The 25,916-nt window shown below is 35.9% G+C and overlaps 2 protein-coding genes across 2 annotated transcripts in view, besides 2 other annotated features; one reads left to right on the forward strand and one right to left on the reverse strand.

Moving 5' to 3' along the window:
- Positions 1-236: 236 nt before the first annotated feature.
- On the reverse strand, positions 237-3,371 carry PPP4R3C (protein phosphatase 4 regulatory subunit 3C). The gene has a single exon (NM_207319.4). It carries the CDS (start codon positions 3,324-3,326, stop codon positions 828-830), a length of 2,499 nt encoding a protein of 832 aa, NP_997202.3. The 5' UTR covers positions 3,327-3,371; the 3' UTR covers positions 237-827.
- Positions 2,285-3,484: an enhancer, noted in NCBI's record as "MED14-independent group 3 enhancer chrX:27480372-27481571 (GRCh37/hg19 assembly coordinates)". NCBI's record gives its function as "activates an origin of replication core promoter dependent on BRD2, BRD4, P300/CBP and CDK7 cofactors, and independent of MED14, by STARR-seq in HCT116 cells {active_cell/tissue: HCT116}" and the evidence as "EXISTENCE:reporter gene assay evidence [ECO:0000049][PMID:35650434]".
- Positions 8,971-25,916, forward strand: part of DCAF8L2 (DDB1 and CUL4 associated factor 8 like 2) — a 281,002-nt gene continuing 264,056 nt past the window's right edge. The window contains exon 1 of the mRNA XM_024452372.2: positions 8,971-9,029. The gene's annotated coding sequence lies outside the window, so the exon portion shown is untranslated. The remainder of the gene's footprint in view (positions 9,030-25,916) is intronic.
- Positions 10,226-10,784: an enhancer, noted in NCBI's record as "NANOG hESC enhancer chrX:27488313-27488871 (GRCh37/hg19 assembly coordinates)". NCBI's record gives its function as "activates a minimal SCP1, AML or CMV promoter by ChIP-STARR-seq in naive H9 embryonic stem cells {active_cell/tissue: H9 hESC(naive)}" and the evidence as "EXISTENCE:reporter gene assay evidence [ECO:0000049][PMID:30033119]".

The following is a 25,916-nucleotide window of genomic DNA, read 5'->3' on the forward strand; positions in this document are numbered from 1 at the left end:
CACAAGAAGAATGCCATGTGACCACACAGGCAAAGTTTGGACTAATACACCTACAAGCCAATCACCTCCAAGAATCCATGGCCACCCATGGAAGGAAGCTAGGAAAAGGCAAGGAAGGATGCTATCCAGTGTCTGAGGGGTCATGGCCTTGCTGACACCTTGATTTTGGACTTCCAGCCTCCAGAACAGTGAGAGAATACATTTCTATTGTTTTAATAAAAACAAATAACCACACATTGTAAATCCAGCTTGCTTTTTTAATGAATGAAAGTACACTCTGAAAGCTACTTCCTTCCAATTACTTATAAGCTTAAATTTTGTTATATCTTTATAGAAATGTCTGAAGAGACTAACATTTTTTATAGTTAACTTTGTTTTTCATATAAACATAAACTTTTGTGTTAAAAAGGTAACTGAAGGAAAGAATACCATGGCTAGTACCATTATACAAGTAATTTGTAGGCTTTTAACTGAACTGTTATTATTTCTAATATATACCTCTAGAACAAAACTACATTAACATTATCGACCTGGTTCTTCCCCATTCCAAACTAAGACTTTCCTTCCCAAAGATGGTTTCCTCCCCCAAATCGTGACACAAATTAAGACTTTCTTGCTAAAAAGTTTATCACCCAGGTTCTGGTTACTGTTTTTTTTTAAGATTATGAGAAATTTTGTTTTTACAGAATTAAACCCTCTTAACTCGTTATATCTGTGATTTATCATTATAAGTTCACATGAAAAAGCTTGTGGAATCAGTCTTTTTAGCTTATGGACGTTTATAGAATTTTTGTTGAGCCACATTTTGAGGGTGCCCCATATAGATTTTAGGAGCTAAGATGAGGTTTCTTCTTGGGGGATGTTTCATCTTCTTTATCTTCCTCTTTTTCTTCTTCATCTTCCTCTTTTTCTTCTTCATCATCTGGATGATCCACTAAACGAACCACACTGCTACCACTTGGGCTACCTGTTCCAATAGCAGCACAAGCAGAATAAGATGAAGAGAATTTGAAGTCACCAGAAGATGTTCTTTTGGGAGAGTCTACCTTGCCTTCATGTTCTTGGTTTCTTTTAGTCTCCATAAATTCATCGTCATCTTCCAGTGGTGGCATAACTGCTTCTCCTTCTTGGTGGGTTCTTTTGGTCTCCGTAAATTTATCGTCATCTTCCAGTGGTGGCATAACTGCTTCTCCTTCTTGGGTTCTTTTGGTCTCCATAAATTCATCGTCATCTTCCAGTGGTGGCATAACTACTTCTCCTGCATCTTCCATAAAACATATTTCTTCTTCCAGCCCAATTTCTTCTATGGTACCTCTGAAAACTACTATATTTTGCAGTACAGAATGTAAATTCTTTTGTATTTGACTTTGTCTGTCTCTCTCTTTTTCATATTTAATCTTCAATCCTTTGAATGTCTGAACATATTCAATCGATTCAAGTGTGTTATAAAACTTTTCAACTATATGTGAAACAAGAGGCTTGATATTTTCCACTCTTATGTATTCAAATAGCTCAAGAATAGCTGAATTCAACATATTGTACCGAGTTCCATTATCTAGAAGAGCATTTACAACTGGCTCAAAAAGATTTCCCTTGATGATGTAATTATTATAAGCTTCATCATTAAGGCAAATCATCCTTCTCATAAAGCGAAGAACACACAAAATCAGGTGAGTATGCTTTGAATTCATCAATATCAAGGCCTTTCTTAGCAAGTCTTTGTTCAAGATATAGCTTCTTATGTAGAATGTATGATGTTGTATACAAAATGTAAGTAGCTCTAATATCAAAGCAAGCAGTTGTGCTGTTTGATTATCATTGGGGCAATTTTTGCTTTTGTCATATCCAGCTATATCATCCTCCTCACAGTTGTGTTCTGAGGTGGCAGCCAAAAGTGGTGCTGTAAATTTATGCATGCAATGTTTGTAGAAGAAATGTAGAAATTCACTTCTTTCACTTTTCTCAGGTGTTGTCAGCATGTTGCGTGGATCAAGTAGAGTATGCAGAACTACCATCAAATGAACAGCACCTCCTAACTCAGGATCAGTATCACAGATCATTTGTTTAATTATTACATTAATGAAAAGGTCACTATCTTTGCACACGTGAGCTTCTGAAATTATAAATTCTCGGATCCTGGATGGACTGTACTCCACTAGATAAGCACATATAACTGCAGCAGCTGACCTTACTTGCAAATCATCCCTGATCATTACGATTTTAAGAGCAGGAAGAACTCCCAACTGTATCAACGTTTCAAATAGTGCATCCTTGCTTTGAGGCTGTAATGCCTGAGAAAATGAACATAACTCCTTGAAAAAAAATAGCAATTCACACCGTCTATCATCATGTGTAGTCTCATCCTTTAACTGTGCAAAAACTTCATACAAAAATTTGTGATCTTTCTGCAGCATGCTTACTATCTCAGCCTTGTTGGAGAAAATAAAAGTTGTAAGTGTAGAAAGAAAATTATCTTCAAATATGGAAGGCACAGGCAAAAGAATGTCATAAATGTACTGTAATCTGTATGTCTGATGTATTTTTTGCCTAAGTTCAGAGTTAGTTATTGGTATAACTTCCTTGAACTTCGCATCGTTGGTCAAGAAGTCCCTATGCCTTTTTGGCTGATCCAAAGCAGGGTCATACTCAAGGCATCCCACCACATCCATGATACACTCGTCAGAAAACATTATCTCAAACAGACATGCCTCGTTGAGGAACAAAATTCCCTTAATAATTTCATACAAATGGTGTAAACCTTCAGTATTCTCTAGATTTTCACAAGTGTGGAACAGTTGCAGTAGTTTTGGAATATAAGCCTCATTTTTCAAGATCTCAGCCAGTCTTTCCCTATCCGTAACAGGTGACGAGAAAACTGAGGTAACTATGTCAGCAATTTGATCAAGTGTATTGAGTTCACAGTCAGGCAGCACAACCATATTACTAATTACTGACATTTCATTAAAGTCTTCCTCTGGTTCATCTGAAATGTTCACTGTGGTTTGGATAGACGGATCCTTACCTTGAGCTTGGCAAATTTCTTTCCAAATATCCTGGCAGCCGGCTGGGTCCTGGAATTTTAGCACCAAACCCTGGTTCTCAGCTTCATACCAAACAATTAGTGTCTCTTGGTATTTCCCATAGGGCCTGTCTGGAGGTATCTGTGACCGCAGGATGACCGACCCATCTGAATCTGACCGAACAAGCAGCGACATGCCCTGGAACTGCTCGTCATAGGTGGATGAGACCTGACCGGTGCCTAGATTGTTCCATTCCTCGTCTTCGTTCAGGACATAGACTTTTACACTGTACCTCAGGCCTGCCATAGCGTCCTCTGGCCTCGCCCCGTCAGGTCTGTTCTCCACGGCACTGCTTCCGGTACAGCATGGAAGCCGCTGTTATTTTGAAAACGATGGTGGCCGAGAGGGCACCCCTGATAGAAGACTGCCAATCAATAGTGGCTAGAGGGGCGGAGCCAAGGCTCTGGAGAGGCCAGAGGGCGGCAGGGTTCCCTCCTATTCCCTCTGGAGGCCCTGTTACCTCTCACTTTCCCCCACCTCAAGCACACTGAATCTTCTCTCCATTGCCCCCCAACACCCCATCCCCTACTGTCTCTTAAAAAGCGAGTCTCAGGCCAGGCGCGGTGCGCTCAGACCTGTAATCTCAGCACAGCACTTTGGGACGCCGAGGCGGGTGGATCACATGAGGTCAGGAGGTCGAGACGAGCCTGGATAAAGAGGTAAAACCCTGTCTCTACTAAAAATACAAAAATTAGCTGGGCGTGGTGGCAGGTGCCCATAATCCCAGCCACTCGAGAGGCTGAGGCAGGAGAATGCTTTGAACCCAGGAGGCAGAGGATGCAATGAGCCGAGATCGCACCATTATACTCCAGCCTGGGCAACAAGAGTAGGACTTAGTCTCAAAAAAAAAAAAAAAAAAAAAAAAAAAGCGAGTCTCTTGGACTGTTCTCCATTGTCTAGAAAAGCGTCGCTCTGGCAGGAATCTTGTGATTTCCCCAGAATTCTGCCCCAAAAGATTGTGCCTATGTAACCATTACTATACTTGTTAAAAGGAGCTGCCACCCAGCTTACAAATGGAAGCCTAGAAATTAGAATATGATTTTTTTATAAAGGGTTTTGTTTCTCTGAAACATTTTCTCTCATCAGGTATTTGGGAATGGAAACTTAGGAACTTTGATAAAAGAGACTGTAATCACCTGTGTCCTGACAAAGTTCCTATTTCACATTCTATGTCAAGAAAAGGCTGGTCCAAAAAAGAAGCAGGAGCAAGTGGCCTATAGACCATTAGCAAAAATCAGAGAAATGGTATTCAATCTTCCCAATAAGGCTTGGCATGAATCTGTATCATTCACTTAGACATCCTTTGGGGAGGATTGTTTTAAGAAGGAGTTGGTTAACTCCTCTGGTCTGTTTAGCTCATCCTAAAGCTCTATCTTTTAGCACAATGGGGAAAACATTTCCCCAAATTTTCCCACTCCATAAGGACACTCGTCATTCGTAGGTAAGGACTGGGCCAGAGGAAAACTGTGAGTTGAAATTAGCCGAGAAAGTATTGGCCATCACAGATCAATTATTTTCTTTTCTTAATAATGATAATAATAACCACAACAACTAATAATACTTGATTACTTATTATTATGAAGAAAGGTAATAACATAACTGATCAAGTCTAATAATACTTGAATGCTTATTATGTTCAAGACACTGACAAGAATGTTGGAGTTACTTTCTTACTTAGTTTACATAATGATCCAATGATATAGAAGTATTAGTAATCTTTTTAGGATCAGGAAATAAACTTAGAGAAGTTAAATAAATTGCCAAAGGTCACACACTAATAAGTTGAGGAACTCTGTGTTCAACATGTCTTTCTGCTTCCAAAATTGGTTTTCTCAGCCATTGAACTATGCTATCCCCTTCTTTTCTTGGCCGTCATTACACTTTATTTCACATTTCTTCCATCTATATAATTTGTAATCAACATAAAATTATCAAGACAAGATGGAAGTCACGCACTTCCTCCTTTAGATCCACATCTGTGTATAGCCAACTGAAAAATAGAAGCTTGGATATGGCAACTCTGTTAAATATAATTTTAATAGTAGCCAAGTTGATTTTTGATGTAGCAGCAAGTTTTGCAGTTTTCTTTTAAAATATATTTTTCCAAAACATTAACCCTGTTATTGCAAGGGAAAGCAAGAATTGGGGCACATCAAGCACATTTGGACTTGAAGAGTCCCATTTGTAGCAATCACTTCATTTTACATAGCACTGGAGATATGTGATAATTCTCAAGTAGAAAAGAAAAATTTCCACACACCTCTTTTGCAATGTGGCCTACAGTAGAGTATAGTTCAAGAATATTACTTATGACAGTACAGCTAAGGCACTTGGGGAATTGAATACAAAATGACAATTATTTCATGGGAAAATTTAAGTCAATGCCAGGAAACTGCTGGTTTAGAAGCATTTACAAATTATAAATAATATTTAAACATAAAATTAATAAATGACATATGAGAATGATATGTGTACTAAACAAATCTTCTTTCAACACGACAGTATGTGCAAATACACAATAATAATACTGACATGTATGCTAATGGTCTAATTTTTCTCTGCTGTGTTTATATTGAAGTCTCTATCAAAATCAATTATAATACTGTCAATCCCTTGAATATGCCTTCAAGTTCCATTCTCTGAGAGGCATTCAGCACAAATCTCTGTGTCCTCACAATTTCGTCACTGGGAGTTTCCCTTAGGCCAACTAAGGTTCCTTCATCTTAATTAGGTTAACTAAAGTCTCTACAATCTAAAAGTCTCATATTCACATTTCTTAGTGCTATTTCTGCAGTAGTTTCTTTCAGTTCCTGTCTTTATTTGGTGCGATAAGTAGAGCAATGTCCTGTTTTCTTCATCAGTTAACATTATTATTTTTTATTTTTACTGTTGTCTTACAGGGAGCAAAGTAATAAGAATAAAATATTCTAGGAGCTGTGTAAATCCTTTAAATATACACTATTTACTTTTTCATTTAGTCCTCATAAAAAGTGACCTAAGAAAAATACTATTACTACCTTATTAGAGAGGAAAAAGCTTCAAACTCCAAAACTGAGTTAAACATTTGGTTCAAACCCCTGTAGTAAGTGATGATGCCAGAACTTGAAACCAGTTCTTTTATAGTTCCAACTCGGCACTTTGCTCTTCCCAATATGCAGTGCTCTCTCTCAGACAGTATATAAATTTTTATAGCAGATGTTTACAACAATGTAGTTTTTATTCCAACTATGACTGTTATTTGGTGTTTCTTCATTTTATTATGTGAAGAAAAATATTTGAGGCCAGTTCAAAATAAAAATGTGCAGACTGAGTCTTAAGATTAAGAATTCCTCTTTTGTTTTGCATGCTTGCCCCTCTCACATTTCCTCCCCATGACCATAGGGTAGTAAGATTTAGTTCTTCATGACTCTGTTCTGAAAATAAATAGTTTTACAAAAGGATCTTGTAATTCATCCACATCTTAAGACCACTAGGGTTTAATTTTTACACTTGATCTTAGCCAAAAGTCCGAGAAGTGATGGGTTTAATTTTTATATTTCCAGAGTTCTTTAGAAAACAAAAAAAGGAATGAGTCACACATTTCTGAATTTTAGGTACAGTAAAATCCTATGAAATGTTTATACAGTCACGAGCCACATAAAGACATTTAGGTCAACAATGGACCGCATATATGGCATTGGTCCCATAAGATTATAGTGGAACTTAAAAATTCCTATCACCTAGCTGTCATAACATTGCAGCCCAATGCATTGCCTTATCTATGTTTAGATATGTTTAGATACATAAATTTTACCATTGTGTTGTAACTGCCTATAGTATTCAGTACAGTGACACGGTGTGCAGATGTGTAGCCTAGGAGCAAAAAGGTATACCATATAGCCTAGGTGTGTAGTAGGCTATACCATTTAGGTTTGTGTAAGTATGCTCTATGGCGTTCACACAATGACAAAATTGCCTAAAGATGCATTTCTAAGAACATATCCCCGTCATTAAGCGACACATGACTATATATGAAATATTTTGATGTCTAAATATTCTATCTATAAGAGGAGAGAGCATTTCATAGTGGGAAAAACAAAGTGATTTTTGATTTTATGAAATGGCATTAAAATATGGTTATTCAAATATATCTCATCTAAAATTTTCAACATCAAAATAATTAATGTAAAACACACCTACATGTTTACTACAAGTTTTCTAGCTAACTTATTCTGTGGAATGTTGCCTTTTATGGCATCTCTTATGGGAATATCTGAAACACAAGGCAAGCAGTGTCAATTCCATCTTTCCTGTGGCTCAGGTAAAAAATATGAAGTCATTCTTGACTTTTCCCTTTTTCTTACTCCCCACATTCAGTCTTCTAATATATACTGTCTGTCTGACTTTCAAAACGTGTTCAGAATCCTGCCACTTCTCATCACATTTGTTATCATTATTACTACCAGTGTCAAATCCACCATCATCTCTGGTTTGCAAATTTTTAATAGTCTCTTCTCTTAGCTTTCACCTTTTCCCTACACTAGTGTATTTTCAACACAATAGCTAGAAATGATTCTTTTAAATCAGAAGTCACACTCTCCCACTTCTTCGCTAAAAATTAATGTTTTTACCTTAGAACACAAGCCAACATTCTAACTATAGTCTATCCATCCCAATAAGATCAGGCCCCCTTGATCTACTTGAGCTCTTCACCTCGTAGTCTCTTTCTTCCTTATTCTGCCTCAGCCACACTAGCTATCTTGCTGTGTCTGAAGTACATTGGGCACACTTGCCTCAGGACCTTTGTATCTGTCCTTCTTTCTACCTGGAACACTCTATTTCTCATTATCTATGTGACTAACATGCTCATTTTCTTAAAAAATTATTCAAATGTTCTTGTTTTTCTAGTGACACCTTCCCTAACCCCCTCTTTAAAATTGCAGGGGCCTCCCATTCCAATTCACCTATCACTTTTCTTCGATGTATATTTTCTCCGTAGTTCTTAGCATCATGTGATCATTTTGAACTTCATTTATTCTGTTTTCTGAAACCAGACTATCAACTACATGAAGGCGGTAATTTCCTTATTTTGCACACTGCTGTGTCCCTAGCATCTACCATAGGCATGGTACACATAGTTTCTCAGTAATTATTTGCAGTATAAATGCATGAACAAATAAGCATTATGTATAGGATGATTTCCAATAATCCATTTATTTATTCCACAGATAGTCCACAGATTGAGAAACCCCTATGGCCAGGCCCTATACCAGGCACTGGAGATGAAACAGTGAATTTGAACTTTATGTTCAGTCCTCTTATGGAATAGCTAGATAGTCTTATCAGGAGATATTTTTAATTTACAAAATACATATGTCATTTCTTCTGATACCTAAATTCCATCTTTTTCGATAGTTTTCTTTCTATTGATGGTAAACTAGGAAACAATACTCTCCTTTTAGTTGCATGAAAACTCGTGTATTGAATAAGGTGGATGTTTTCCTCTAAGTTTTGTTGAATATTTCTTCCCCAACCCTGAGAGAAATCTCAGGTAGAAACTGCAGCTTTTCCATCCACTCTCAAGTGTTGAAAGAACCCTTATTTTCTAGTATTAAAACGTTCAACCCATTTCAAACTTCTGTTTGACCAAATCAAGTTCATGGACAAGACCAGAATCAAGAGGTGTAAAAGTATACTCCACCTAGACAGGGAGATCATAGCAAACTTATATAACAAAGGGCGTCGGTAGAGGGAAGAATGAAGAATTGGGAACAATGTTGTATTCTTTCATAAGCTTGGACAAGTACAACCAAGAACTTCCCTGGGCAAAGAGAGATGTATGACTACTCTATACAGAGAGTATTAGAATGTGTGGACAGTTAAAATCTTCTTTTATTCTCAGGTGAAAACATCATCCTGTTATGTGTACACTGCAGCAGTCCTGGTTATTGTCTTCCCAGTGTCTCAGAGGTAAGAATCATGCAAGTATTTTCTTGGATCCATAAGCAGTTTCTGTCAGCATTAGTACATTCTCAGTACTAGCTGTGCGCATGGCTTCCTTGGAAGCTCCAAAATCTGCTCACACCTCATGAATTAAGCAGAGGAAAGAAAAAGGGGAAAATGTTCTTTTAAGCTCATGTAAATTTTAGGCACTGACTTTCAGTGCCATGTTCTCTCTTTTTAATTCTGTTCAAATAGTTACTTCCAGACTCATTTCCAGTTTTGTTTTAAATTCTGTAATTCATAGATCTTTTCTTCTCTATTTGAATAGACTATGTTACTTCCTCTTCCTACCTTGATCATCAAGAATAACATTAGCTCTCTGCTTACTAATTACCCTATAGCCATGTTGTATAAGTACTAGTAATGAGCATAATTTGGAGTTAAAAATGCTCAATTTTTGCCTAGAGATAGAATCATCTTCATTTCTTCAGTACAGTATAAGATATATTTACGTCATACAATATATATTTTCATTTTATAAGGAGCAGTCTATTTCGTCTTAACATTTTTGCCTTAATTCAATTAACATTTAAAGGGGTGCCTTGAATATGTTTGATGTCTGATGAGAAAATTGAATTGAGTCAGAAACAGAAACAAAAATTTCATGATAAATAGGGGAAATCTTAAACACTTTGGCTAGTCTTGATATTGGACACGTTACTACTTGTGTGAAGATCTAGTTCATTCTTCCTGAAAAACAACCTTTTATGTTTTGTTACCGCTTGCTGATCTGCTATCATTTTCTCTTTTTTTTTTTTTTGAGACGGAGTTTTCACTCGTTGCCCAGGCTGGAGTGCAATGGCTCGGCTTACTGCAACCTCCGCCTCCTGAGTTCAAGCAATTCTCCTGCCTCAGTCTCCCAAGTAGTTGGGATTAAAGGCATGCGCCACCCTGCCTGGCTAATTTTTTATTTTTAGTAGAGACTGGGTTTCTCCATGTTGGCCAGGCTGGTCTCGAACTCCTCACCTCAGGTGATCCGCCCGCCTCGGCTTCCCAAAGTGCTGGGATTACAGGCGTGAGCCACTGTGCCTGGCCTGATCTGCTATCACTTTCTTAAGCAGGAGGGCTGACATAGTGTAAGAATGTATTTTTGAATTACACATTAAAATCATTCAGAAAAAAAAATCAAACATTTGTTTACAGTTAATTAAAATTATAATTTTTAAAACTTCTAATATAAGGGGTTTATCAAATACGTAGGTGAGAACAAATATTCTCTAAAAGAGAATTTAGAGGAAAGAGAGTTTATTCCAAAGAACAACTTGCAAACCAGGGAGATACAGCCTTCAATGTAAAATGAAATTGCATTGTAGAAAACCAAGGGAGGATTTAGCTTTCATAGAGAAAGTTCCTACCCAGGTTCCTATTCAGGACCTTTATGCAAATGAAGGATTCCAACTTGCTTAGTTCTGATTGATTGATCCCTGCTGAGCTCTAATTGGTCAATGTTTGCTGAGTTTGATCCGTTGATGCCGGCCATATACTACTGGTAGTTTCAGGCCATGTGAACATAAACAGTCAGCTATGAAAGTCCCAAAGTTAAACAGACATGTGGGTTTTCTGGGAATTCAAAGAGTATGTGTGGGGTCTATAGTGAGCAAATGGCCACTTGGCTCTATTTTAAATTTAGGACTAGTTAGCCACTCAGGATTCCTCTTGATAGATTGGCTCTTTCAGGGCCATGTAGGTGATACATACAGTAACATGTAAAACAAAGATAAAAATTCTTAGTACTCATACATATTGCATGACCTTTTAAGAACAATAACTGCATTGGTTCCCTATGTTTTAGATGCCTCTTAAGCATTATATTTATCACAAAATGTGACCTTATAAAGTGAATTTTAATGAAGATTTTATGCCTTAAAAATGCCTGTATTTGTGGGCTTGTTGTTTGATTGGTTGGTTGATTACTGAGAGTAGGTATAGCAGGGTAGTTGTGGTTTACCCATTCGATGTCATTAACACCACATTCCCTGCTTGTGACAACCAAAAATATCTTCAGTCAGGGCCAAATATACCCTGGGTGAAGGAGGCAAAATCACAGTTGGTTGAGAATGACTACCAGAAATAATTTTCAGTTCTTATCATCTACTAAGTTTTTAAAATGCAAATAGTAAATCTCAAAAGACAAGTTGTATGGTCGTCTTTTCATGTCTGATATAGTAAAACCAGCTTATTTGAATTTTTGTGGTTCAAGATTTCTATTAATCAGGATTTCTTCATATTTACAGTAAATACAATACGTGGCATTTATCATCAGGCCCTTCTCCAGAAAAATAATGAAGAAGTGAATTTGTTGTTTTAGCAATTCCCTTTTGTTTTCCTGCAGTCCGTTCTCACAGCACCCAGAGCTTGCATACTACTTTCTATAAATCTACACTCTTTAGCATTCTACCAGGCCCCACCGCCTCACCCCATCTCACCTTTCTTCCCGCACTTTGTTCCAGCTCACTGTCCTTCGTGCATATCTTTTTCCCTTCTAAGGGTTGCTGACCAGACCTCCACGCCCCTATATTTTCATATCTCCTTCCTCATGGTTCACATTCCATTTAAAAAAGCAGTCCCTCAAAAAATTCTTTGCCCACAAAATCTGAGGCAGCAACCACTTCTCTTCATACTCTAACATTACCCTATTTCAGTTTCTCAACAGAACTTTCTCAATCTAGAATTACCACATTTAGTTACTTTTATTGTCTTATTCTGCTCTCATCCCACTCCCCCAGCCCAAAAAAGACAAAGATAGGTCTCGGCCCATCTTATTTTTTTCTGCATTGCATTATCTAGAAGACAATAGGTGTTCAGTGACTATTATGAATGAATGCATCAAAGAATGTGTAAAAATCACCCTTTTCTTATAGTGGAAACATTTCATGATAAAAAATTCAATTCCTCCTCATATTATTAAAATCTATCAATTTGGTATCTGATTTCATTAACCTGTTTTTTTTCACGTTCTTTCCTAAACTTATTTCTGGATGAGGATAAGGAGGTTAACAAACTTGTCTGAATTTCCACAGTGAGTAAATATTCTGAGCTTTGATTTGAACCCTGGTAGTCAGACTCAAGAATCTGTGTATGTAAGCTCTTTGCTACAAGACACATCACCATTCTCTTTCCCTTCTCTTTAAATAGGTACAGAAGTCACATTTTATGTCTACGTTATAAAATCATCAAGTTAGACTCTTAAGCATTTGGACAGGCAATATATGTCTCCATAGATCTCTTCTTATCCCCCATCCCCCTCTTTTTCTTCTTAATAGTACACATAGAGGACAATTAGATATAAAGTGCTTCTACTTCATGATCTCTCTCCCTTAAAGTATTTAACCTCAAAGTATAAATATTCTTTTCTTTTAAATTTTACTTTAAGTTCTGGGATACATGTGCAGAACTTGCAGGTTTGTTACATAGGTAAACGTGTGCCATGGTGGTTTGCTGCACCTATCAACCCGTCACCTAGGTATTAAACCCCACATGCATTAGGTATTTGTCCTGATGCTCTCCCTCCCCTTTTCCCCACTGACAGGCCCCAGTGTGTGATGTTCCCCTCCCTGTATCCATGTTTTCTCATTGTTCAGCTTCCACTTATGAGTGAGAACATGCGGTGTTTCGTTTTCTGTTTCTGCGTTAGTTTGCTGAGGATGATGGCTTCTAGTTTCATCTATGTCCCTGAAAAGGACATGATCTCATTCCTTTTTATGACTGTATAGTATTCCATTATGTATATGTACCACATTTTCTTTATCCAGTCTATCATTAATGGGCATTTTAGTTATGTTTGCTTTAAATAGAGGTGAACTAACTTTAAATTTTATTCTCCTTTTTTTCTCATGCCTCTGACTGTGATAAGCTTTATTTGAAACATTAGTTTTACAACTGTGTGCTACTTTAATTTACCTTCAGTACTACTATCTTGACCCTTTCGCTTTTTGCAACACTTTTTCTTTCCAAATGCATTTTTTTCTTTCTAGATTTTTCCCACTCTGAACTCATAAGAAGTCTTTGTAGACATAGTTTTCATAGCAGTTTGTTCCTTGCATTCATTGATAGGGTTATTCTTTGTGATAATCACATTATGGAGCATGTCAGTTTATTCACTCACACAATATCACTTCTAATGCATAGGAAGAACCATTTCTAAAAATTTTGTATGTGAAAAACCATTTCTAAATTTTTTCATTTGATATTATCTAACTGATAACTTTGTTCTTGCTTTCACACATATAAGCAAATGCCATCCACAGCTATAACTGGATTGCCTAAACTGGTTTTATTATCCTGAACAGTTTTTCTTTTTGCTTTAATTTTAAAGACCTGTGGGTATGAAGATGTAACAACTTCCACAGATGGCATTTTCTAATATCCTTCAACTTACATCAGTGAGATTCTTTTTTTTTTTCTTTGCCTTTTCTCTTAAATAAACCTTCCTGTTTTACTTTCTTCCTATTCTCTTTTCAATGGCAGGGTCAGAAAATGAGAGCTCACATATATGCTAAATTGCTTTCTTTCATCTGAAGTTAAGTGCGTGTCTTCCCAGGCCAAACATATCTGACCTTACCATGGCATTTATAATTTCTTTGGTAACTGACTATTAATCTACCTTTTTGGGGTTGCATTTTTTTTTTAATCTTCACAACAACTAACTCTAGTTGCATATCTAAAAGAGAAATATCATTCTAATATACAGTAATTCTAAATATCTTTACAGAAATCCCCCATTATGCTAAAATTATACATGTCTAATTATCCAATATCAATGTCATGTGTACTTCTGTTGCCTTCAGAAATATTAGCCTGCTTTTCATTTTAATTCAACAATGGAAATAAGAGAGGAAGAATACGCATTTTTTGCAATATTCTTGAGGTTGCTCTGGGCGTATACTTATGGGAGTCTTTGCCATTTATTAAGAATAAGTAGCAAAGGAAAGCAAAAAAAAATGATAAGACATATCCATTCCCTAGGGCTCTAATGTTCAGGCTCAATTGGAGTCCCGAGGGTATTTTAACACCTAAAGCCTCTGACTATAAATGTGTCCCTCGGGTATTCTCAGTTATTTCAGGGAAGTGTCAGTTGCTCATTGTACAAGAAGCAATTATCCCCACGCAGAAAATAGTTCAAAGAAAGAAAGGAAGAAACCTAGTTAGTGAAACAAAGGACCGAAAGAAGAAAGCTTACAAGGAAATGAAAATTAAAAAGTACATTGCAAAAAGTGCAATGATATATATTTACTATTTATTTTATATTCAAAAGATAAATACAGATATAGTGGCATATAGTTATAGTCATCTATCTCTACATTTGCATCCATATTTTTATCCCACCCACATATGCGTACATATCCAGATCCACATTTCTGTCCTTATCTGTGTCTGTGAGAGGATGCAAGCTTGGTGGTTAGGAGCCCAAACACAAAAATAGATACCTTGAGTTGAAACTCAGGCTGTATCAGGCACTAGTAATGTGACATGAACAATATTCTTACTATGTCTTGGCCTCAATTTCTACATCTTTAAAGTGGAACTATTACCTACTTCATTTAGTTGTTATGGGATTAGAAGAGGTAACAGGTATAAAACACTGGTTACTGGTGACGTTGTTATTTAAACATGTTGGTTCATGTTAAAATCTTACACCTGAATAGCAACAAAAAATGTTCTTTAACATATTATGCTCCTTTTAAAGGCAAATGGGTCCAAGAAATGATAGGCTTTTTGTTCTTATTGGCTCAATGGTTAGGTATTAAATGCACATTTATCAAGTCTGGGATGTGTTTATGCACTGCTTAGAGTTCTGAGAGAGTGACACAAAAGACACGAGTGACTCCTACCTACTTCTCTGGCCCAGGCACTATATGAAGTGAAGGCGGTAAAGGAGAACCTCAAAAAAAGGGACTCTGAATTGCTCTGGGCCTTGGATGCTTTGGAAGAGGGGCTGCTCTAAGGTTCCTTTTAGAGCAAGACAGTGAGTGTTGTGTAATAGGAGTCCTCCTCAAGAAATCATGGCACTCCAGGTGATCTTGCCACTTCTCAGTGTCTTATTTTAATTGGTTTTCTTGTGAAAATAGGTCAAGTCACTTGATTTCACTTATAGCTTGGGGCCAGAGTCGATTTTTTCATGAGTTACTATTTAAGCAAAATGACTTTAAATTGCTGAGGACACTAGGATTATGTCACTCACTTCCCTTAGAGGTAAGTACTCTACTTTGAGTTGGGAAATTTCCTGCAAGGACATTTTGATCACCAAAGTTAAGTTTCCCAAATCACATATAATTTTTTTAGTTACTAATTCACTTTTCAAAATTTTATAGTTTTGCTAATTGTTACCAGACTAGAGCCAATTTATATTTGAAGATATTTACATGTCTTTTATAAACAAAAGTCACATTCATTTTCAAGGGTCTAACAGTTTTGCAAAGTACATTCTTCCCCCATGAAGGTTAAAGAGCACAGATCAGCAGCTAAGCAATCATATTGGGCTTGTAATACTCAGAGGTTTAGTCCTGGATTTGTTTTGGATTATTAGTGTGTCGCTTGAACAGGTCACCTAACTCCTCTTTTACCTCAGTTTCCTTTGTGATGTGGCTGGAATAATAATACGACTTCTTTTTTGAAACCATACTTGGAAAATAAAATTTAAAATATTTTTGCATCTAAATTTTGCCATACAAGTACTGAAAATATCAGAAAATGGATTTCATGCTCAACTAACGAAATTAATTGCAGTAGTGTTTAAATGCAAACCAACACATTGTCAGTGATTAGACATTTAAAGCTGGAACTGATATTTATGAAAGTTAAATGAAGTTATTTCAAGGATCCAGTGAGTATTTGTTGACTACTTCCTGTGAGCCAGTAAATTTGCTGGTGACTCATTGGTGAATGCAAAGATGAATGCCTACCCTCTGTCCCTCTCAAATCTTATGCCTGGGAAGGGAAACAATTAAGCACATTATAGGGGCACATGGGACAACCTAAACATATCAGGGAAGTCTTCCCAGAGAAAATAATGATTAAGTTGTGACTTGAAGCATAATAATTAGTATTACAGATGTGTGTGGGATAGGGAGGCGGGTATAAAGGGGACAAGAGGAGAAAGGATTGCAACTAGAGAGGAAAGAAAAACAGGTACTAGATCATAAAAATTATGTAACCGAGACTACTTGAAAAAATGAGTATGGCAGTATCCTATGGGCACTGTGTGGTGAATAGAGAAGGAAAACAAGCTGGGGTCTTAATAAAAAAAAGTTACCGAAATCTTAGTGAGAAATGGTTGTGATCTGAACTGCAATGTTAGCAGTAAGGATAAGGAGAAGTTGATAAATTCAAGAAATATATAAAGGTTTTAATTAACGGAACTTCCTGATTAATTAGAAAGAGGGTGAGCAGGGCAAGTAGACACACAAAACAAAGCAATTACCAACTTGGTGCATGCTGATGCCTTTCAATTAGAAAAGGGCATATTTAGGGGGAAAGACTAATTTAGTTTGGATGAGTTGAGATTGAGGTACATACACAGAATATCATAATAATAGAGGTGTGGTAGAGTACAATGATTATTTAATCTTTTCACTCTATGTGAATGTGACTTAATGATGATCTGCTGAGAGCATTTGGAAGGACTTTAGAAATGATGGACTGAATATTTTCATGCCATGGAGCTGTTTCACCAGAAAAGCTTAAGGTAACTCTCAAGGCTAAAAGGGGAGTTATCAATGCCCAATAAGAAAGAAACACTGCAAAATTGGCAAGTCACTTTAATTTTACCATCTGTGCTACTTTTTTTCTTGCAGCATTGTTTTTCTTTCTTTTTAGATTTGTCTCTGTTTAATTCTGGAAAATCTTTACCAATATATGAACAGATAAAGACTGTGTTTTATAAGTTGTGAATGGCCAAATTGAGAATTGTTGCACTCATCTTTCTTCTACTGCATACAGTGTTACTTCCTAGGACAAGTTGAAAGTAGGTAACTCATTGAAAGAAGGATGATAGATTTTGTGTTCTCTCATTACTTTTCAATTCCTAGAAATAATGATGAACAAAAGCTGAACTTGTTTCCCCAGATCTCCTGCCTTTCTTTTCCGGAAAGGAATAGATGTATACTATACCACCTCCTGCTTTCATTAAGTAGAATTAAAATAGCATGGTGACTGACCTGGACAGGTCTGGAATTTGATTTCCTTGTTCTGAACAAGAATGATTCTAGGCAAAATGGATAATAGGCTTATTTAGAGTGTTTGTGTGTTTCTCTTGTTTTTGTTTTTGTTTTTTTGAGACGGAGTCTCGCTCTGTTGCCCAGGCTGGAGTGCAGTGGTGCGATCTCGGCTCACTGCAAGCTCTGCCTCCCGGGTTCATGCTATTCTCCTGTCTCAGCCTCCCAAGTAGCTGGGACTACAGGCGCCCACCACCACGCCCAGCTAATTTTTTGTATTTTTAGTAGAGACGGGGTTTCATCGTGTTAGCCAGGATGGTCTCGATCTCCTGACCTCGTCATCCACCCGCCTCAGCCTCCCAAAGTGCTGGGATTACAGGCGTGAGCCACTGCGCCCGGCCTCTTTAGCTGCCTTACTTGGACTTTATTTTGACTTCTTTCTGTGCAGGCATTTGCCCAGTCCTCTACTGCTAACCCAATGCTCTTTTAAACCCTTACTCTAGAATTTCTCCAAACCCATTTTGCCATCAAACCCTGCATCTACTGTATTTTAGGGGATGATACAGTGTATAGAGAGGGAGGAGGAAACTCTATGGGCTTTTTGTAAGTAATGCGAAATGAGAGGGGACAGTCATTCAAAGACAACTAACAAGCCTAAAAATTGTTCTTCATCTTAAACTTCAAGTAAGCATTCTCTACTATATCTTTCCGTTTTTTTTAGAATGAAAATGCCTAGAATATGGATTGTTAGCTCATCAAGTAGGGATATGTGGTCTGGTTGCCATGACCCCATTGATTTAATTGAGTTCACTCCCAACTAAGATTCTCAATGAATCGTTAGTCTCATGTGTCCAATTCTGCTGTGTCATTCTGTTATTTTGGGGATGGATATTTTTAGGCTTGATATCCAAGAAAGCAGTTTCTCTCCCAGCTTTATGCAGAGCTTAAAATATTGTTAACTCTATACCTCCAGGTAAGGCAGAAATTGCATCCTAAAATAAAGTATTAACACTCACCTCTACTTTGAACAGTAGCAGTTCTAATTATGTAGGATGCAAACGATTAAAGATTATTTTTAAAATGTAAATGTAACCCTCTTGTTTTTAAAGCATATACAAGCTGCAGAGTAGATTTATACATAAAAGGTGCTTTTTAATTTGCCTGCTAAGAAGAAAAAGTTGACTTTCACTAGAGCTATTTAATTGTTTAAGGATAATGAAATATCTGAAGGCATCTCTAGTTAGGTTTAAGAGAAATAAAGAATGTCTCACCCATAAAGAGTTTGGATTACATTTGCTTTCTTTGTGTGAAAGATACATAATTCATAAGCTAATGAGTTGTAAAGGACTTCTCAAAAGTAAAATTGTATTATCACTCCCAGGGGTAAAATAGTCAAACTATTCTGTAATAACTCATTCAAGTTTATTTTATCATAAAATGTTAAACATAATCCCCTCTTTTTAAATGTACCATGAGAATAATGCCAAGATATATAGAGAACTTAGGAATTATTAGAGCCAAAGTGGAAATAAATCCTAAGTGATATTTTACATTTTTTGTTTTCTGATGAAGAGGAAATTCAATATTTAAAAAATTAGGAATAAAAACATTGTTTAGCATCTAAAAGATAACTAAAATTAGACAACTTTTACATTTTTTTCAAGAAGTTATTTCCTTTTGCTATTGTGGTCTCATCACTGTGATAAGAGCCTTCTATAATGGCTCCCAGTGATCCTTTCTCCTGGTATTTATGCCTTTGTATAATCCCCTTTATTTGTGTATGGGCTTAACCTAGTGATTAAAGAATAGAATATGACAAAAGTGAGGGGATGTCACTTTCAAGGTGAAGCTGTAAAAGATTGTGACTTTTGTCTTTCTCTCTCTCTCTATGTTTCTCTGTTTCACTCTCTCTTTCTGGCACTCTCTGGTTTTTCTCTCCTGCTTGTTCTGATGAATCAAGATGCCATGTAGAGGACTATGTAGCCAGAAATTGAAGGTAGCCTCTGGCCAGCAGCCAACAAGAAACAGGCCCTCAGTCAAACAGTTCTCCTGAGGAACTGCATCCTGAGTCCAATAATGTAAGTGAGCATGATGGCAGATCCTCCTCTAGTAGAGTTTTCACATGAAGTCACATTTCTCGCTGGCACCTTTGTTTTAGCCTAGTGGTCCTTGAGCCAGCAGATAGATATAAGCTGCACCCGGATTCCTGATCCACAGGTACTTTGAGCAATTAATTGTGTATTGTTTTAAGGCACTAAGATTTGGGGTAATTCACTATGGAGAAATAGGTAACTAATAAAGTCCTAAACAAATCTTCACTACTATATGCATTTTCTGTGTTTACATTTCCATTATGTGTAAATTTATCAAAGCTCAGTGAAATTTGTTACATAAATTAAACACTTATAAATATGGAATTTGTATATAATTCCAGTAGCCAATTTAAAAGGAAGTGGTATTCATGGTGAATTTCTTTGTCGCCAAAGAGGAAACATAATTTTGAATTTGATGGACAAGTAATTTTCCTCTGCAGCATAATTTTAATCTGAGGTTCCTGGATTCATGGTTAGCATTTTGGATAGGAGAACATTTCTCTGCAAAAAGTTTATATTATCCAGTCCCCTTTCACTATACGACAGCAGTGGGTCTCAGACCTTGTGAAAACAAAAATACACCCAAACAATTCCACACCCACCTAGAGAGGGTCACATTGTTTCTGGATTAGAAGTACAAGAAATCTCTGGATGGCCTATGAGCCAAAAAATCAATGTAAAGTGTTTTGTGCTTATGTGCATTTTTCTGGTGAAAGAGCTCATGACTTTTCATGTGACACTAAACAAAGCTCATGGTCTCCAAACATGTTAAGAGTACCTGGAACACACCACCACATTAACTGTGTTTTAGTGGCTAAACCATTGTTTTGACTATAACAACAGTTAGTTGATTGGTTAAATGATTTTTAAATATATTTATTCAACACATTTATTGAGGACCATGCAAGACATTAGAGGTACAACACTAAAAAGACATTCATGATTCTTCTCCTAAGGAGCTTATATTTTAGTAGGAAAATGGATATTAATCATGAAGAGTTCTGAGAAAATTAGAGAATGCTTGGAAGCATATAAGTGGGTGTGCCAGTTATTTGCCTGTTTGCTCTCAAATCCATTCTCTCTCCTTCCTTGTTCTGGTTTACATGACGAAGGTTGATCCTGCAAACAACATCATGCATGCTCCTTTGCTATCTGGCTACTTTATGAGCTTGCCTAAGGGAAGGCATGGGCAGAAAATTGGAGAGTCTGAGGCAGAGACAGGCCAGGATAATTTTCTCTCTGCTTCAGGTGGGTCTCTTGGCGGTGGCTCTGTCTCCTCCTGGGCTTTAGCTTCGACTGGGCAGCTACTACCTTTGTGTTTCAGATATCCCTTTGGTGGCCTCAATTCCTGACATCTGGTAACACTGTTACTTCCCTAGACTTTATTCTAGGTCTAGTCATGGTGGCAAATTTCTGCAGGTGCAAATCCATGAGTGTTTCATCTTCTATTTATTCTTTCAGCTCATCTAACACCTTCATAACTTGCCTTCTATATTACATTTCTTCTGTTGACCTACTGGACCCTAACTGATACACCAGGCCACTCAAACTGGTTAAGGAAGGGATGTGTCAGGAAGGCTTTTCTCGAAGATGTTAGATTTGAGCTGAAGTCTGAAATATGAATATGTATTAACTAAGTCAAAATGTGGTTAGACAAACAAGAGAACATTTCAGGAAGAATGTGTGCTTGTGATTTTCCAAAACTTCAAGGTCGATGTTGTTGAAGTTTGGAGAGCAATTTGGAGAATGGCATGAGAAGAAGTACATAATATGCCAAATTTTACAGGGCTTTAGTCCATGTTAAGAATTTTGGTATTGGCCGGGTGCAGTGGCTCACACCTGTAATCCCAGCACTTTAGGAGGCCAAGGCGGGCGGATCACCTGAGGTCAGGAGTTAGAGATCAGCCTGGCCAACATGGTAAAACCCCGTCTCTACTAAAAATACAAAAATTAGCCAGGTGTGGTGGCAGACGCCTGTAATCCCAGCTACTCAGGAGGCTGAGGCAGGAGGATCACTTGAACCTAGGGGATGGAGGTTGCAGTGAGCTGAGATCACACCATTGCACTCCAGCCTGGGCAACAGAGCAAGATTCTGTCTCAAAAAAATTAATTAATTAATTAATTTAATTAAAGAATTTTCATCTTTATCATAAGAACAATAGGAAGCCTTTCATGGATTTTGAGCAATGTTCAGATGTGTGTATTTTTAAATATGTATTTAAACATTTTTAACATGTGGAAAATGAGCTAGAAAGAAGTATAAGTAGATGCTGGTATAATAGCCAAAAGGCTATTGTAATAAAAAAGCGATGCTAGTTTGGGCAATGTTGGGTAAAATTTTAAAGCTATTCAGATGACTTAGTGATGCTTGGATAAGGGATAGGTCAGGTAACGGAAGGTGACATAAATGATTGGTCTTTGTCAAAAAGGTGAATTATTATTCATTCACTGAGCTAGAAAAACTAGAGAAAGAATGAATTTGGGAAAAGGATAAAAAGTTCATTTTGGATCTATTGAATTTGGATGTCTTCAGAAAAATAATGGGAAAGTCTATGTGTTAGGATGACTGGATTGGATTTATAATTCATAATAACCTGAACTGGATTTATTTTAATTTTGCTCAGTTGGGTGATCAACTAGCAAAGAGTTGATTTGGACATATTATAGATGTGTCATTTGTGATCTTGTTTAGATGAATGTGCTTTCTTGGTAAGATAAGCATTTCCATTCTAAAATCTTTAAAATAACTTAGTTTTGAAAACTTAGTTGTCTATGAGTTTCTATTATTCATCTTAGTGTTTTTATTTCCCACATTCCTTCACATTTACTAGATGCTTCATAATGTTTAGGAAATTTAAATCGAGTTATGCCTTTCTAAATGATACCAAATTTTTCCCCTCCCAGACTAAACTTTTTAATCATATTGCAAATTGAATGAATTTAGAAACGTAACAAATCTTTTAGGTTGTGGTGGTAAATGTGGTCCTATGTTAAAATTTTGGTATGACAGAGAAGAGAACATCAAATTTTTTTACATTTTAGAGGTAATTCAGTGAGTCAAATGCTAATTCCAAACTTAAGTGCTCAGAAAATATGACCTCCATTAGATTCCATGGAAATGAGCTAATTAAAGCTCATTTAAGAAAGAGCTCTTTTAAAGTTCTTGACATAATTTCCTCTTATCCTTATTCTTCCTTCAAAACTCACCTTTAAATTATGACATTGTAATATTGTCAAAGTGTAGGGAATGTAAATGTGGACATCCATCTGAATCAAGTCACTAGAGATATTCAACAACTTCCACAATACCAGAAAAGAAAATCTGATCTTTGAATATGTTGTATTTGGTACTTTGAGAATGCTCCTTTACAAAAAATACTACAAGTTATTTTAGAACAATCTTATTTTTGGTTTTTTGGAACGTTAGAAAGAACTTGAAAATGTAGAGGATAACTTCCCTTGACTGCAAGTTATTAGATAAATTCACGTCATTTTCACCTCATTAACATTCTAAACTCTTTTCTCTTTCCTTTATGTCAAAAGCAATATCTGTCAAGATAAGATAATCTGTTATTTTGAGATTACCACTCCATATTTACAATAGCTTCTCATTTATGTACCAAGCAAGCCCCCATGCCTGAAAGAGTAATTCAAAATTGTATTGTTTTGTGTTTGCTTGTGTGTTTTTTTGTGTATTTTCATTATGTTTGTGTTTTCATTAATTCAGTGGTAACATAAAACCACAAATAGCTGTCATCTATAAGCTGGCAATTGCTTTTGTAGAGAGCATTTAAAACGACATTGCATTTACCCGAACGTCTTTACTTGTTTCACCCTAAACATTTTATAACACTTTAACATATCAAATTTGGTAAAAATTTATGGATGTCAAATGCAAAATCATATCAATAAAAGATAGTGTTCAACCTCAACCTCAAACAGAAGCGAGTAAACTGCCCAACCATCTCTATGCATAAGACAAGATAATAACGTCCTGTTACAAAGAAAAACATGTACATGGGCCTGGAATGTTCACAATTTATGAATACAAGATATAATGAAAAGGTAATTTTTCAAGTAGTAAATGAATAAAAGTAGTTTACATTTTTGTAAAATACTGTATAATTTGTGATGGGGAAGAAAAGCTTAACTGAATGGCTTAAGTAGCAAAAAATTTTAACGAAACTAAGAGGTACTTTGGTGTTAAATTATAGTACATCAAATTAGGAAATTTAGTTGAAAAATTAATCTTTATCAATATTTGAATAGCTTTCTTTCCACTTTACTTTTGTCCAGTTGGGCTTTGTTTACTTAGGTTTAAAGCTTGACAGGAAATGTTATTGTGCACAGACATCGTTTGGGTGTCTGAGTGGAAGGTGTGGCTAGCTACAAACAATAAAGGTTTCCTTGCTTCCTTCCCATTTATACACCAATTTTATACATTTATTTTATACACACATTTATACACCATTTATACACCAATTTTAAGTTTTGAGATGTCATCTCACCTCCACGAAACAGTGTATTTCTCCTTCAAATGGATAGGCCTAAGTCAAGTAGAAAAATGCATAGGGGTTGTGAAGGAAAAGAACTGTGGCCTTCATGGATTTAGAAGCTCTGTTGTTGAATACTCCAGAATAAGAAACATTACTGAGAATATGTTAGACTTTAAATGAGTGTATAGGAAAATTCAAGCAGATCTTTCTGATGTTTGGCATTTCTAGATGTTATTTCAAGGGTATAGGCATATTGTTGGCATCTAGGTGCATTCTTTTAAAAATTGTTTTTTGATAACGGTATTAAAGGATTTGAGTATCTTAGCATTGCAGATCACCAAGCATTAGCAATTTCAAATAGAGTTGGAGGATTATTAAACATTACTTGTCTATCAGTTACAGCAAAAAAGCAAAAATGCTGATAGATATAGGAAGGCATTTGTATAGTGTATACACATCTCTTGACAATGCCTGAACTAGTATTCAATAAAATTCAAACATTTAAAAATTATTTTTGTTCTCATGGTGGTTTTCAGATTAAATTCAAATCCTTCTTCAGTGATTCACAAATCCTTTTATATTTAAAAGTTGTAAAATCTTTCAACCTGAGAAAGCTGATTAAATAATAATAATAAAAGTTGTAAAATTTTTAGTGTTAACTTGAAAATATTAGAAAATTTGATCCCTGAAATTAGGAATTCCTCATCCCTAAGTTGATGGTCAAAGACTAATATTTCTAAATTGCTAAATAAAATATCTCCTGTATTCTTTATAGATATTAATAATTAGAATCAAATCAGTCTTATTTGGAAACAATGAGTACCTAATTAAATATGGTGAGAATACTGTGCAAGTTATATTTTATTTTCATAAAACATTATTTTCAAATTATGTGTATGTTTTAGATGATTCCCTTTTGTGCAAGAAATATTTCTATATTAGGCACACAGACATACAGTGTGTGCATTATATATAAAAGCAATTCTAAGAAATGTTAACCTGTAGTGAACTATGTATTGAAGGAGAAAGAAGAGAGGAAACTCATACAAGGCGGCAGGGGAGAAAGTATGAACAAAGGCAAAATGATTAGAAAGGTATGAATGTAAAAACATTGAAAAAGAATCCAACTGTAAAAAGGATATCAGTAGGAGTTTGAGTTATATCTTTACAAAGAGAACTGAAATGGAGATACAACCTAATTTGACTAGAGAGGCAGTTTATATTTGAAGGGTTTTAAGTCATGAACACTTAGGATTTTCATAATGAGAAAATAATTGAAATTATTGTGTAGAACCTGCAATGGAAATGATCACACGATTTCCTTAATTACCAAGGCTTTTATGATATAGTATATTGTGTGTTTGATTTTTGCGAGATGACATAGACATAGGTATTCTCAATCTTGGGATTAGAACTGGAAAAGTAAAACTACATTAAAAGCTTTGCTGAATAAAACTCTCGTGCTAATATTTGAGTGCATTCAATTGTTTGCATGCATGTTGTTGCAAACAAAAGTTCCACATATTTTAGTAAAATTTACATTATGGCCCTTGGGTACTGGTGAGCTACAATGAAGAAGGGATGGTGAAGAAAACATAACCACTGAAAAGGCAAATTATGGGAGAGGTTCCTTTAGCTAAGTCCTTTCATTTTTAGGTAGTTGATATAAAAATTAATTAGAGTTGAAGTTAAGTATCCTTCTGTATTACATATACCTTTAGTGGTTATATCATCATCTGGGATCCAAATAATAAAGTAAAAATACTTCAAAATGTCTCATTATTCTATAGTATGATTAAAAATACAAATGAACAAGTTGATAAAATAGATTGAATCAATAAACCATTTTAAAGATTAATCTTCTGGTCATCCTTAATTTAGCTTAATCTTTCTACACGAATAATTTTAGGCAATGTTAAATCATAATTATATGACACAAAAAATCCTATATTAATTGTTTACTGCTAATCAGAACTGCATGTATTAAGCATTATCTCATATTTTAATATTTGAAGTCACAAAGGGATATGTGGGCAATTAGGAAATATTACAAGGTTTTCAAAAATAATGCATTCTATTAAAATGAATGTGTTGACAGTAGGATAAACCCTC

This window comes from Homo sapiens, chromosome X, assembly GCF_000001405.40.
Source record: "Homo sapiens chromosome X, GRCh38.p14 Primary Assembly".
Lineage (NCBI taxonomy): Eukaryota > Metazoa > Chordata > Mammalia > Primates > Hominidae > Homo > Homo sapiens.

Excerpts from the sequence above, each read along its gene's own strand:
- PPP4R3C (NM_207319.4), bottom strand. The coding sequence starts at position 3,326 with ATGGCAGGCCTGAGGTACAGTGTAAAAGTCTATGTCCTGAACGAAGAC.